This window comes from Homo sapiens, chromosome 11 (genome assembly GCF_000001405.40).
Source record: "Homo sapiens chromosome 11, GRCh38.p14 Primary Assembly".
Lineage (NCBI taxonomy): Eukaryota > Metazoa > Chordata > Mammalia > Primates > Hominidae > Homo > Homo sapiens.
In genome coordinates, this window is record NC_000011.10 from 126065773 (window position 1) to 126081193 (window position 15421).

The 15421-nt window shown below is 43.8% G+C and overlaps 1 pseudogene, besides 1 other annotated feature; it reads left to right on the top strand.

The window, feature by feature from the left end:
- Positions 1621 to 2829, top strand: NAP1L1P1 (nucleosome assembly protein 1 like 1 pseudogene 1; annotated as a pseudogene).
- Positions 10872 to 11373: an enhancer, noted in NCBI's record as "NANOG hESC enhancer chr11:125946539-125947040 (GRCh37/hg19 assembly coordinates)". NCBI's record gives its function as "activates a minimal SCP1, AML or CMV promoter by ChIP-STARR-seq in primed H9 embryonic stem cells {active_cell/tissue: H9 hESC(primed)}" and the evidence as "EXISTENCE:reporter gene assay evidence [ECO:0000049][PMID:30033119]".

A 15421-nucleotide genomic window follows, 5' to 3' on the forward strand; every position in this document is an offset into this window, starting at 1 on the left:
GGTATGGGACTTGAAAAGGATGCTTGAAGAAGGTGGTGAAGGTTTGGAATAGTCATTAGGAAAAATGAGAGTTGAAAAATGAAAGTAGAAAATCACTCAGAGAATTGATAAGTGATGCTGAGGGCCTGGCTGAGGTTGGAGACCATTAATGTATGGTGATGGAGCTTGCATGATTATGTGGTTTTCTCCATCAAAATTTAATCAGTCAGGTAGAAGGGGAAAAGCATAACACCAACCCAATTTTGAAGTTTTTCTGGAAGTTGTACAAGAAGGAAAATAACACACGGTATTGGTAAGAAAATTTTTAAAACAGCAATCATAGAATCCAGGCAGTGGAAAAGGTGTAAGAGGTTTGAGAAGAATAATAGACTGGAAAAATTACAAATTAAAGAAAAGGAGATATGTATGACATTAAAGAGCTGTTGTTACAGGATTGAGTAAGAAAGAACCAAGAAGTCTTTGGTAATAACCAGAGTTTACCATTTCAGAAGTAGAACAGTTCCAAGTAATGATTAGATCTAGTATGTTTACCGGTGCTGGTGGACGATGTGGATGATTTATGCCGTCAGGGGACATATTGAAGGAACTGAGAGGCTGATAAATGAAATACCATGAGCCAAGTACTCAAGTCCTCAGGGATGAGGTGGGAAGGTTGTTAGATACTAAGTGACATTTAATACATTCCAGGCCTGAAGTGGGTGCTTTTATAATACTCAATACATGTTAAAATTGGTTCTCCAAGGCCGGGCGCGGTGGCTCACACCTGTAATCCCAGCACTTTGAGAGGCCGAGGCGGGCAGATCATGAGGTCAGGAGATCAAGACCATCCTGGCTGACATGGTGAAACCCCGTCTGTACTAAAAATACAAACAATCAGCCAGGCGTGATGGTGGGTGCCTACAGTCCCAGCTACTCGGGAGGCTGAGGCAGGAGAATGGCATGAACCCAGGAGGCGGAGCTTGCAGTGAGCCGAGATCCCATCACTGCACTCCAGCCTGGGCGACAGAGCAAGACGCCATCTCAAAAACAAAAACAAAAATGGTTCTCCAAGAATAACATAATAGAGTAACTAGAGTCCATAAACTTGTATCACATTCTGACTGTACCTTATTTGATCTTGGTCAAATAACTTAAACTCTTGGAGTCTTGATTTCATCATTTGTAAAGTTGTAAATGACTTCATCATTTGTAAAGAGTAATAATACCTCATATAGAGTTGTTAATAGGACCTACTTCAGTGGTTTGCTAGGAGGATTAATTGAGATGATACACACAAAGCACTTAATACAGTGATTGGCAAGTAGCAAACACTGGATAAAAGTGTTTTTAACATAAATAAAAGCTATTTATAATAATAATAGTTAATGCTTATATAGTTCCTTCTGTGCACCAAGTATTATTTTAAGCATTAGTCCCAAATTACAAATGAGAAAACTGAGACATGAAGTGCCTTGACCATAGTCACACGGCTAGTCAGTGTCAGAGCTCATATTAAAACTCAGGTAATCTGTGTCTAGAGGCTGGACTCTTAATTATTACACATTAATGTCTCCCTACAATAATGGGAAGTATTTTTATTAATATCACTTCAAATAAATTGATCAGTTAAACTGATCTGTTCTTTTTTAGCACCATTTGCTCGCAGTGCCGCCTCCTGCTCCTCCTGCCGCCACTGCCGCCCTGAGTCACTGCCTGCGCAGCTCAGGCCTCCTGGCTTCCCATACTAGCTGCCGATATTTGGAGTTCTTATAACATGGCAGACACTGACAATCTGAACTTGATCGAGATTTGGATGATGTTGAAGAAGTACATGAAGAAGAAACTGGTGAAGAAACAAAAATCAAAGCACATCAGCTAACTGTTCAGATAATGCAAAGTCCTCAGATTCTTGCAGTCCTTCAAGAAAGACTTGATGTTCTGGTAGAAACACCAACAGGATACACTGAAAGCCTGCCTAGGGTAGTTAAAAGACGAGTGAATGCTCTCAAAAACCTGCAAGTTAAATTAAATGTGCACAGATAGAAACCAAATTCTATGAGGAAGTTCACGATCTTGAAAGGAATATGCTGTTCTCTATCAGCCTCTATTTGATAAGCGATTTGAGATTATTAATGAAATTTATGAACCCACAGAAGAACAATGTGAATGGTAACCAGATAAAGAAGATGAGATTTCAGAGGAGTTGAAAGAAAAGGCCAAGATCGAAGATGAGAAAAAGGATGAAGAAAAAGAAGACCCCAAAGAAATTCCTGAATTTTGGTTAACTGTTTCTAAGAATGTTGACTTGTTCAGTGATATGGTTCAACAACATGATGAACCTATTCTGAAACACTTGAAAGATACTAAAGTGAAGCTCTCAGATGCTGACCAGCCTATGAATTTTGTCTTAGAATTTCACTTTGAACCCAATGAATATTTTACAAATGAAATGCTGTCAAAGACATACAGGATGAGGTCAGAACCAGATGATTCTGATCCCTTTTCTTTTGATGGACCAGAAATTATGGGTTGCACAGGGTGCCAGATAGATTGGAAAAAAGGAAAGAATGTCACTTTGAAAACCATTAAGAAGAAGCAGAAACACAAGGGAAGTGGGACAGTTCATACTGTGACTAACACAGTTTCCAATGACTCTTTAATTTGTTTGCCCCTCCTGAAGTTCCTGAGAGTGGAGATCTGGATGATGATGCTGAAATCCTTGCACAGACTTCAAAATAGGTCACTTTTTACGTGAGCGTATAATCCCAAGAGCAGTGTCATACTTTACTGGAGAAGCTATTGAAGTTGATGATGATGTTTATGATGAAGAAGGTGAAGAAGCGGATGAGGTAATGTTTACCAAATGAGCAAATAATTCTCTGTGTTTAACACATTGAGAAGCAAATTGAATGACTTATGTATTCCTTTGCTATAATCATTCTGCAATTTGGGTTAAAAACATTTTGGAGGCCGGGCGCGGTGGCTCACGCCTGTAATCCCAGCACTTTGGGAGGCCGAGGCGGGTGGATCATGAGGTCAGGAGATCGAGACCATCCTGGCTAACAAGGTGAAACCCCGTCTCTACTAAAAATACAAAAAATTAGCCGGGCGCGGTGGCGGGCGCCTGTAGTCCCAGCTACTCGGGAGGCTGAGGCAGGAGAATGGCGTGAACCCGGGAAGCGGAGCTTGCAGTGAGCCGAGATTGCGCCACTGCAGTCCGCGGTGCGGCCTGGGCGACAGAGCGAGACTCCGTCTCAAAAAAAAAAAAAAAAAACATTTTGGAAAATATGATTTTAGAATTCTACAGCCAAACAGTGTATGTGTAAAGTTTCAATAAATAAACTGAAAAAAAGAAAAAACTTTGTTGAGCACCTTTTAAGTATAAAGCACAAAATTAAAGACATACAAGGAAATACCTGTATTAAAAACATCTTGGCTGGGTGTGGTAGCTCACAACTGTAATCCCGGCACTTTGAGAGGCCAAGGCAGATGGATTGCTTGAGCCCAGGAGTTCAAAACCAGCCAGTACAACATGGTGAAACTCTGTCTCTACAAAAATTATAAAAGATTAGCCGGTTGTAATGGCATGCACCTGTAGTACCAGCTAGTCAGGAAGCTGAGGTAGGAGGATCGCTTGAGCCCAGGACACGGAGGTTACAGTGAGCCAAGATCGCGCCTCTATACTCCAGTCTGGATGACAGAGTGAGACCCTATCTCAAAAAAGAAAAAGAAAGACATCTTATGTGGCCTCATCAGACTCTCTTAGCCTCACCTGTCTCCAACACCCTGCAGTGACTCACTCTGTGTCCCTTGCACCATTTCTAGGCACTGCAGAGCTTGAAATCTGGCTTCCCCAGGATCTGCTGAGAGGGCTAAGCAACACAACTCAAACATATAGTGTGAGGCCAGGCGTCTTGGCTCACGCCTGTAATCCCAATGCTGTGGAAGGCCAAGGTAGGTGGATTGCTTGAGCCCAGGAGTTCAAGACCAGCCTGGGCAATATTGAGAAACCCCATCTCTATTTAAAAAAAAAAAAGAAAGAAAGAAAGTGCAGTGTGTTATCTCCCCTATGTGAGGAGGGCATGGGAGCAGGGCAACAGATAAACTCCTCCCATCCTCTATCCATGGACTGCTCCAAGCATGGCTTGTCCACACTACTTGTCTGGAACCATCCCTCGTGGCCAAGCAGAAGCACCTACTGAGGGCTCAGCTGGGTCTTGTGTGATATATCAAACGCAAGGGCCTCATAACAACAGATCGCCTGCGTTTGTTTCCCAGCTGTTTCTATCCGATTTCCCTTTTCCCTCATTCTCACCTGTGATTGACCAGACTCTGTTTATTAGAAAATCTTTGTTATAAACCTAAAGAGTTTATACTAAAGCTTTAGAAAGTTTAGGCCTATGTATATATAAAACAAGTAACAGTGCAAATCACTAGTTGATAAACACCAGATGAGAGGAATACAGCCAGGCACAAGTTTGAGGTCCAGCCTGAATGTTATTAACCACTTAATTTTTTATTTTCTGTGCCTCGGTTTTCTCATATATAAACTATAGATAGTGATACGTGCGTTGCACTTTCATACGTTGCTGATGGGAATGAAAAATGGTATGACCCCAGGGAAGAAAATTTGACCATATTTATCAAAATATAGCATGCTTTTACCCTTTGATCCTGCAGTCCCAGTCTGGAAATTTGTCCTACGGATACTCTTGCATTCATATGAAAAATCTATTCACTGCATTGTTGTTTATAGCAGATTAGAAACAATCCAAGCGTCCACCATCAAGAACTACATCCACACAATGGAATACTGTGCCACTGAAAAAAGAAAAGGGAAGCTCTCAGAGAACTGCTGTGGAGGGTACTCTAGAATATGTGTTAAATGGAAAAGAAAAGAGAAAGAAAGAGAGAGGCAGGTGCAGGACATCTTATGGGCAGTATTATGCTCTAATTTCTAAGAGGTAGAAAATAAGATTATATATTTGTATTTACTGATTTTTTTGCATAAAGAACCACTAGAAGGAACCAAAGAAGACCTCTTTCCTTTTATTTATTTATTTATTTTTTTGAAGACAGGGTCTCATTCTGTTGCCCAGGCTGGAATGCAGTGGCATGATCATGGCTCATTGCAGCCTCGACCTCCTGGGTTCAAGTGATCCTCCCATCTCAGCCTCCTGAGTAGCTGGGACTACAGGCACACGCTACCACACCTGGCTATTCAAAGAATATCTTTAAAAATGATTACTTATAGTGGAAGGTGGATAAGATACTTTTAAATTTATATCTTTTGGCTGGCCACAGCAGCGCATGCCTGTAATCCTAACACTTTGGGAGGCCGAAGAGGGTGGATCTCTTGAGCCCAGGAGTTTGAGACCAGCCTGGGAAACATGGCAAAATCCCATCTCTACAAAAAATACACAATTAGCCAGTCATGGTGGTGTGTACCTATATCCCCAGCTACTTGGGAGACTGACATGGTCAAGGTAGCAGTGAGCCGAGATGGTGCCACTGCACTCCAATCTGGGTGACACAGTGAAACCCCATCTTAAAAAAAAAAAGTGTAACTTTTTATACTGTCTTGATTTTTGAACCATGCAAATAGGCTACTTATCCAAAACAAACAAAAAATTTAATGGGAAATTAATACCTGCCCTTCAAGAGTTAAATGAGATAATGCATCACATTATCTGCAAGTACTCTGCACAGTACCTGACACAGAGTAGGGTCTCAGTAAATGGTAGCTTCAGAAATAACTTCCAACTGAAGCAGAGGAAGGAAGGCTTCAACGAGGAAGGAAAGCTTAGCCTAAGTCTAGAGGCTGGGAAAGACTGAGAGAGAAGTAGAGAAGTGGGGACTATTGCCAAGGAGGGATTGGGAGAAGCAATGGGAGACAGTATTAGTAAGATAGGATGAGGCTGCATAGGAGAGGGTTTGAATGGTAAAATAAGAACTTGGGATTTTATTCTTTAGGTGATAATAACCATAATTAATCTTTACACTTATACTGTTATCTTATGGTTTATGAAACCTTAATTATAGATTCCCATCCAGAAGAAACTCAAATCTTATTGTCTAGAATTTGATACCAACTCAAATGAACATTAGGAGCCTCTAGAATATTCTTGGACTAGAAATGATCTGACAGAGGTAGCAAATGTCAGAAAGTGCCCATTTAGCAACTGCAAGAGTGGTCAAAGTTGATCATCACCAGGCTGACTTAGTCTGCTAAAGGCTTGCAAACTAAACAGCAATTTCATATATTTCTCTCTTGGTTATGACTTTGGATTTTTATTTGGTCTTATTTACAGAGAAAAAAGCATTAATCAATTTAAAACCAAAAAAAGGAAGGGAAACTGACTATCTAAAAGTCAATTGGTTTAACGCCTTTCTACTCTCTGCTAAAAGGACCAAAGTTCGAAACAACTAAACCCCCACAATGAGTTAGACCCAGAGGGCTAAATAATAACGTAAGTCAGTTGTCTCAATTTGGCTGATTTCCAAATTTACACAACAAAGTTCTTGTTAAATATTCAGGAAGTTCCAATTATTTATGATGTAACTTGATATTGACATGGTATCAAATGACCTGACCATCCCCCAAGGCTTAGGAATTTTACATCTAATGACTGACTGCAGGATAACTCTCCTGACAAGGCTGGAAGGTTGGCAATCAACAATTTTCCTTTGCAATCTATTTTTTCTTTGAAAAAGAAATTCCAATAGGTTGACTGTATTCTCACTGTCTTGTACATTTCCTGAATTGTGTGCAAGAGGATTTCACGGAGAGAGGGATTTCTATGGCCTTTTTTATGCTGAACTGGCGCTAAGCTCCGGAGACTCACTGCCTAAACCATTACACACAGATCACCTAACTCTGTTACTGGGTTTGTGATGCTAGATTGATTTACCCATATACCAGGTCAGGAGAAAATGACTTTCCACATCTTCTTTGCACTAGCAAAGAATGTGGAGATCCTTTTACAGGAAAGAGAAAGGCCTGTACGGGAGCCCGGCGCTAAGCAGACACAATGCCACCTTCCCTGTCATTAGGCTACGTGTGGCAAAGGAGCCCCTGTCTGCGATGTGAAAGAAAGCAAAGGGCCTGAAAGAGAATGGCAAGGAGTTGGAGATATTTGCAAAGGATAGGGAGCTAATGAATGAGTTATTCGAGGCTGGATGGTCTCATAGAAAAAAAACCAAGCTGAGAATTGGGGAACCTGTCCAGTATAATTTATCCCAGCTCCCTCATTATCCTCCTGTCTGCGGTGTGGACTTGGGCCAATCACTAAGTCTCCGTGGTAGAATTTCTCTTTTTCCTCTCCAAAGGAAAAATGAACTACAGTCTGTCAAAGTCTCTAAGGGGCTGGCATTGTTAGAGTAAGTTCTGACCACTTTAACAGCTCTAGCGCAGGTTGGACCAACAAGATTTGGATAAAATGACTAGTCCCTGGAGGTAGGAGAGGTCTTCTGTTTGGTCCAGTTGTCCATAAAAGCTGTAGGAAGTTAGGCAAATTTCCTCATCAGTAAAACGGGTGTAAATACACCATAGGTTGCCAGGTTGTTTTGAGGATTTAAGGTGTATAAAATGCACCTGGTACTGTGCTTGACTCATAATGGGCATCATTATTATTCATCAGCTTGGTTTCCACACCTGCAGTTCCTTATCAGTTGTGAACGTTTCCTGTATCAGAAGCAAGGAATGCTATGACAACTAACTTGCATCTTGGATAGATCACTTAACGTGCTTTGTGCATCAGTTTTCTCATCTAAGAAATAGTAATAGGTCTAGCAGTGGCTCAAGCCTATAATCCCAACTCTTTGGGGGAGCTGAGGCAGGAGGATTGCTTGAGGCCAGTAGTTTGAGACCTGCCTGGGCAACGTAGTGAAACCTTATCTTTACAAAGAATTTAAAAATTAGCCAGGCATGGTGGTGTGCACCTGTAGTCCCAGCTACTCAGGAGGCTAAGGCAAAAGGATCACTTAAGCCCAGGAGTTTAAGGTTACAGTGAGCCATGATTGCACCACTGCATTTCAGCCTAGGCAATGGAGTGAGACCCTGTCTCAAAAAAAAGAAAAAAAAAAAAAAGACCTTAATAGTACCTATTTTCTATATCTGTTCTGAGGATTAGGTGAAATAATGCATATAAAGTACTTGGCCCAGACATAACCAACAATAACTAATTTTTATTATTTATTATACATATAACAAGTACATAATCAACAATAAAAATCCACTATTATTATTTTTCTCATCACCATCATCATCATTGTGGTAAAAATCATTGTGAATTCTACTCCTATAGGTCAAAATTTTCTCTTATTTTTTCAGTTGTTAGCAACTATCATGCATTAGCAGTGAAAGTTTGAACACACATGAATTACTGATTTGTAGTATCATCTATTACATATTAGTAATATGGAGAATATTTGTTCTACATATTGATACTTATTCATAAATGACATAGCTTTAGAAGATTTATAAGGATTAAGATAAGCTTGGCCCATGCTCAGCATTATATGAGTGCTTATCAACAAAATAAACACATACATACATATATTCAAAGAACAGGAACATCTCTTGAATCTCTATTACTAGTTTTGCTTTTACATTATCTAACCAAGTGTTTCCTCTTCTCTTGGTCAGTTAAAAGTACTGGCCCCTCGCTTTGGCTTGCGCCTGTAATCCTAGCACTTTGGGAGGCTCAAGCAGGCTGATTACTTGAGTCCAAGAGTTTGAGACCAGCCTGGGCAATGTAGCAAGAACCCCATCTCTATTTATCTATTTAAAAAAAAGAAAAGAAAAAAAAATTAAGTACTTATAAATAGCATCGATGCTGATAGCCCTTAAAAGACATTGGTTCTGGGTCTGGCATCGTAGCTCATACCTATAATCCTAGCACTTTGAGAGGCCAAGGTGGGCAGATTACTTGAGGCCAGGAGTTCGAGACCAGCCTGGCCAACATGGCAAAACCCCGTCTCTACTAAAAATACAAAATTAGCCGGGTGTGGTGGCGCGCACCTGTAATCCCAGCTACTCAGGAGGCTGAGGCAGGAGAATCACTTGAACCCAGGAAGCGGAGGTTACAGTGAGCCGAGATCGTGCCACTGCACTCCAGGCTGGGCAACAGAGTGAGACTCCATCTCAAGAAAAATAAAAAATAAAAACAAAGACAATGGCTCTGCACTGAGCCCTCTGGAGTCAGGCTCCTGTGTCTTCCCCGAAATCATGTCCTCATGCTAGCCTCATGCTTCCCACTTTCCCTCTTCTGTGCCTCATCTTCTCTCTCCCCTTGGCCAGATCTTTGACCAGCTTATTTACTACCTGCCTGTTCCCCAGTTACTGTCTGTCCCATTCTGGGGGTTCTGGGAACCAAATTTCCTGGAAAAAATGGAAACCGCGTTACTGACTCTGCGCCTCCATGTCAGCTGTACCTTTCCCTGGGGGCCAGAGAGAGGCTGGACCAGGGCATGAGCAGGAAGAGGACACCATGAGAAGAGTGTCTGGAACTCTGGCATCTTGGGGCAGAGGTAGGAGACTAAAGAAGCTAGTCGCTCCTGCCTTGGGCTGCTCTTCTGCAATGGTCTGAATGTTGGTGTTCCCCCCAAATTCATATGTCAGAACCTACTATTCAGTGTGATAGTGTTAAGACGTAGGGGCCTTTGGGACGTGATTAAGTCATGAAGGCTCCACCCTCATGAATAGGAGTAGAGGCTCAAGTGAGCTTTCTTTGCCCTTCTGCCATGTGAAGACACAGAAGGAGGTACCATCTTCGAAGCAGATCATGAGCCCTCACCTAACACCAAATCTGCTGGTGCTTTGATTGTAGACTTCCCAGCCTCCAGAACCGTGAGCAATGAATTCCCACTTTTTAGAAATTACCCAGTGTAAGGTATCTTGTTGTAGCAGCTCTAATGGACTCAGACATCTCACAGTTGTTTGGATATAGACGTTGCATTCACATTTATGTCAGAAAAGGTGGGAAACCAAGTAGGGAGAGTACACACACAGAGGAATGAGATACCTGAATAAGGGAAGTTCACAGGGAAGGTGAGAGGGATGGACAAAACTTAAACTTGGGGCCATTTCCCTTCCCCTTCAATCTATTCCTCGTGGACGTGCTGTTACAAAGTTGTTACCCACCCGCCAGGTGCGGTGGCTCACGCCTGTAATCCCTGCACTTTGGGAGCCCAAGGCGGGTGGATCACCTGAAGTCAGGATTTCAAGACCAGTCTGACCAACATGGTGAAACCCCCATCTCTACTAAATGCAAAAAAAAAAAAAAAAAAATTAGCTGGGCGTGGTGCGTGGTGGCGTACGCCTGTAATCTCAGCTACTTGGGAGGCTGAGGCAGGAGAATCGTTTGAACCCGGGAGGCGGAGGTTGCAGTGTGCCGAGATTGCACCACTGCACTCCAGCCTGGGCAACAAGAGTGAAACTCCGTCTCTCAAAATGAAACAAAACAAAAAAGTTGTTACCAACCATTCCTTGCCTCCTTGCAAAAAGGACTGCCTTCTTCAATGAGTGGAGTGGAATGGAGAAAAAGACAGCAATTTTCTCTCGGTTTCTCCTGGTCATAACTGTAAACTGGCCATAGGCTTCTCTGCATGCTTTCAGACTGAAAAGACTTGAGTGAAGGAATTCAATCTAAGGTATGAAAAATGGAGAAAAGCTTTAGAATTAGTTCTCTGTGGATCTAAGAGATCCCTATGCAGCAGCAGATTTTCAGATACTCTAGTAGGTCCCTGTATTTGGGGGATCTTGACTTTTCATCTTTCAGCTCACAGCAGGCACTTGACTCTCTGTGCTACTAACACTTAAGGTCCAGCCACTTTTCACAGCTTGTCCCAAAGTCAGTAATTTCCCTGGTGACCAGCAAGGGCTCTAGGGGCTGAGATGAGCAACTTATGACCTGTGTGAATGGTCCCAGAGTGGGAGGGGGCATGGGAAGACCTGCAGAAGGGCCTGCTCACATGTCTCCTCCTGTCCTTCTCAGACCCCCACCTGCACTGAGGAACACCTCTTTTCCCACCCCTCTGTTCCATTCATTTAATGGATTCGTCAAAAGCTCATCACTGAGCCAATTAGCAGCCCAGCTTCTCCACTGCCCCTTCACAAAGGGCTTCCACCTTGATTAAAGGACTGTGCCTGAGGAGATGCTGTGCTCACAAATGCCAGAGGGAGGAGGCAATGGGGCCTTACCCTAGAGGGAGGAATGGAGTGGGGGTGTTGAGAACTAAGAAAGAAACTGAACCAACATGAAATGTTGGGACTTTGGAATCTTTTCCAGAGTGAGATAATTTTCTTTTTTTTTTCTTTTTTTTTTTTTGAGATGGAGTCTCGCACTGTCGCCCAGGTTGGAGTGCAATGGCGCGATCTCTGCTCACTGTAATCTCTGCCTCCCGGGTTCAAGTCGTTCTCCTGCCTCAGCCTCCCGAGTAGCTGGGATTACAGGCGCATGCTGCCACGTCCGGCTAATTTTTTGTGTTTTAGTAGAGACAGGATTTCACCATGTTGCCCAGGCTGGTCTCGAACTCCTGAGCTCAGGCAATCCACCCGCCTCAGCCTCCCAAAGTGCTGGGATTACAAGCATGAGCCACCACACTCGGCCAATTTTCTTTTTTTTTTTTTTACCAACCGTCAGGCTCCATGACTTTGGGGACTGTGTGTACCCTCTAGAGCTCATGAGGCCCATCCCCTGCCTCCATGCATGAGGATGGCTTAGAGAAGACTGGTCCTTATTCAACTCTTCCCTCTCACTTGTCAGTGTCTTGGCTCCTGACCACAAGGTATGGAACCTTTAGGGCCCCCTCCAGACACAGAATCCAGCTTTGTCATCCTCTAACACAGAAAACATTTCAGGACTTCTTTGGGATGTTCGACCCACCTGGATGTGTCCTGGAACCCTACTACCTGTCTGCAGCAGGAAGTCAAACAGAAGGCAGCCATTCCCGTCTTCTCTATCAGCATTAGCAGCCACAGTTTAGAAATTCAGCCTGTGCTTTTCTCTAGGGCCTGCATCTGTGCAGACTTCTACCCTCAGGCTTCCCTACAAGATGCTCAGAAGGTACTGAACAGAACACGCACTTGCAAAAATGACCAAAAGCACAAAGGCAAGGGAATAGATCACCTTCTCCTTTCTACTTTCTATTCCCCTACATCTCTCTTTGACTTTAGAGCCCTAAAATTGCCATAGTTCTTAATTTTAGTCAACTTACTACTAATTTTAAAGTATACGAAAATTAGTTAATGACACTTATTAAGCACCTATTACGTGCAAGGTATTATCAAGCAAAATGTAGTGTTCTTACAGTTCCTTCTGTTTGCCTCATATTTTGCTGTTTTCCTGCGATGGTCAGTATATATTGCCTCCCATCACACACCATGTTTTTTGAGCAGCCAGAGACCCAGGCAAATCAATAAATGTTTATCAAATTTCTTTTTTTTTGAAACAGAGTCTCGCTCCGTCGCCCAGGATGGAGTGCAGTGGCGCGATCTCAGCTCACTGCAACGTCCGCCTCCCAGGTTCAAGCTATTCTCCTGCCTCAGCCTCCCAAGTAGCTGGGACTACAGGCACCCACCACCATGCCCAGCTACTTTTTTTTTGTATTTTTATTAGAGACGAGGTTTCACCATGTTAGCCAGGATGGTCTCTATCTCCTGACCTCGTGATCCGCCTGCCTCAGCCTCCCAAAGTGCTGGGATTACAGGCGTGAGCCACCACGCCCGGCCAAGTTTCTTCTATCTGTTACTAGCTTTGCACCTGTGGAAGAATACAATTGCATATCTGCCCTTGAGACCACTATGCTGTACAGTCTGTCAAATGTGTCTCCAAAACAATTAGAAACCATGCAAAGCAGCACATAAATAAATACTTATCGGCTATGATGGAGACTGAGGTTATGCTTTTTTTTTTTTTCTTGACACAGAGTCTTGCTCTGTCACCCAGGCTGGAGTGCAATGGTGTGATCTCTGCTCGCTGCAGCCTCTGCCTCCTGGGTTCATGCGATTCTCCTGCCTCAGCCTCCCAAGTAGCCGCGATTATCATGCCTGTAATCCCGGCACTTTGGGAGGCCAAGGTGGGTGGATCACCTGAGGTCAGGAGTTCGAGACCAGCCTGGCCAACATAGAGAAACCCTGTCTACGAAAAATACAAAAATTAGCTGAGTATGGAGGTTATGCTTTTAAAGAGCAAGATGGAAATGGTTCTTGGGAAAATAACTACAGAAAGAGTTGGTTTCCTGGCCGGGTGCGGTGGCTCATGCCTGTAATCCCAGCACTGTGGGAGGCCGAGGCGGGTAGATCACTTGAGGTCAGGAATTCCAGACCAGCCTGGCCAACATGGTGAAACCCCGTCTCTACTAAAAATACAAAAATTAGCCGGGCGTGGTGGCGGGCACCTGTAATCCCAGCTACTCAGGAGGCTGAGGAAGGAGAATCACTGGAACCCAGGAGGCGGAGGTTGCAGTGAGCTGAGATCACGCCACTGCCCTCCAGCCTGGGCTACAGAACGAGACTCCGTCTCAAATTAAAAAAAAAGAAAAAAGAAAGAAAGAGTTGGTTTCCACTGTTTCAAGACTAATGGAAGAAACTGTTCTCATGAAGAATGGGAAGGACAACCTATAGACTCACAGGAAGCTAAGGGGTAGGGTGGGAACCTTGCCTGAGTTAAGAATAAGGAAACTAGGCAAATTCCTCTCTGCAAAATGATGGTAACACTACTGCCTGCCTCATGGTGGTGAGGATTAGAACAGTGTCTTGCAAGTAGTAAGCTCAATGTCAGTGTTCACTACACTACTACTGTTTTCGTTCTTAGGTGAACTGTTTTACTTTGGGACTGGCTAGAGGTGGGGGTTGGGGGACTGGCTTATATTATGGTGTCTTAGGTTAGTGACTGAAACACACTGACAATCTTTGTTCCTGGCAAAGCAACACTATGCTCTCATTTCAATCCCACTTATAAATTCTGCAATGGAAAAAATGGAGCTGGCCCTTAGGGAACTCACTATAGGGGCCTGAGACTTGGGCCATGCTCTCACTAAACCCTCTGGCGGAAGACCTTCGGGCCACCCAGCCCCACCTGGAGGTGGAAGGTGATTAAATGGATGATCTCACCCGGTCCCTTTTGAGAGGGCCTGAGTCTGTGATCCTGTAAACAGACTCCTATGCATTGCAAACCATGGGCGTTTTTGTGGATTGTTCTTTGTTCAGAAAAAGCCAGAGCAGTTTTGAGAAGTCTGCAGAATGTTAGAGCTGTCACTTCTAAAGTAATGTAACGCTGTCTGTTACCCCACCTATCAGCAAAGCAAAGCAAGGTATATGTCTCCATGAGTCAGGGTTTATTTAATATTCACAACCCCGGCAGTTTTTTGACTGATGAAAATATTTTGCAAACAGAACCTGGTCCTGTTTTTCTCCTCACTCTTTCCCCCTGCCAAATGTAGAGTGAGAGGTTGGCAGAGGCAGTGCTAAACTAGTAGGGCTGAGGAGATACTATCTCCGTCTCCTTGTAACACAAAACATTTATTTTGCTGGGAGTGAACACAAAATTGAAAAGGGGCCAAGATTTCTGGGAGCAGGAGGTTTGGTTTTCCCCCTGGCTGGACTGCCTGGTTTGTTGACTTTCTGCCTTTGCCACCCCCTGAGCCACACACCAGCCTTACCTAAGACATAGACCATTACAAAGGCAGCTCTAGAAGCACCAGACTACCCCCACCCCAGCTCCAGGGGAGAGGACCAGCCATTATTCAGCAAATGAGTCAGCCGTGAGTGACAAAGCCAGGCTTGGTGACTCCCTTCCCCACTTGTTGCCTTGCCCTCTAGCTGTCTGTCCAGGGACCCAAAAGCCGAGTGATGGATGTCCCAAATGCAGACACCACTCGGAGACCCACCCGGCAGCTAGGCAGACATAGCAGGCACTTTGCTGAGGGCCTAACTCCCATGCTGCAGGATGACTGTATATCAAGATCTGTGATCACTGCGGAAGTCTCATTTTCCCAGACTTGGTTCCGCAGCTGTGCTGCCTTCAGATGCTGCCTTGGTTGAAATCCTGGCTCTTACTAGGTATGTGGCCATGGGCAGGTTATTTATCTTTCCCATGTTTCAATGTCCTTATCTTCAAAATAGGGATAATAATAGCACCTTTCTCCTAGGCTGTTGTGAGAATTAGACCAGCACGCTCACCATAGGTATTAGTTATGTGAGTACTATTACTGTCAAAGGTAAGGTAGGAGTATAGTTTCCTCTTATACTCTCAGCTTCACAGTGCCAGAGTCATTGACACCTGCTCTCAACTGCCTCGCTGTGCCCTCAACGCTCAGCCCTGGTGCCTCTGCCAGGGCTCTCTGCATGAAGAGTCGCCTTCCCCTTACATCAGGGCTGGCTTTGTGTTGTCTCTGAAACTTCTTGGACCTTGCCAGCGTGTTCTTTGGTCCTCTTCTT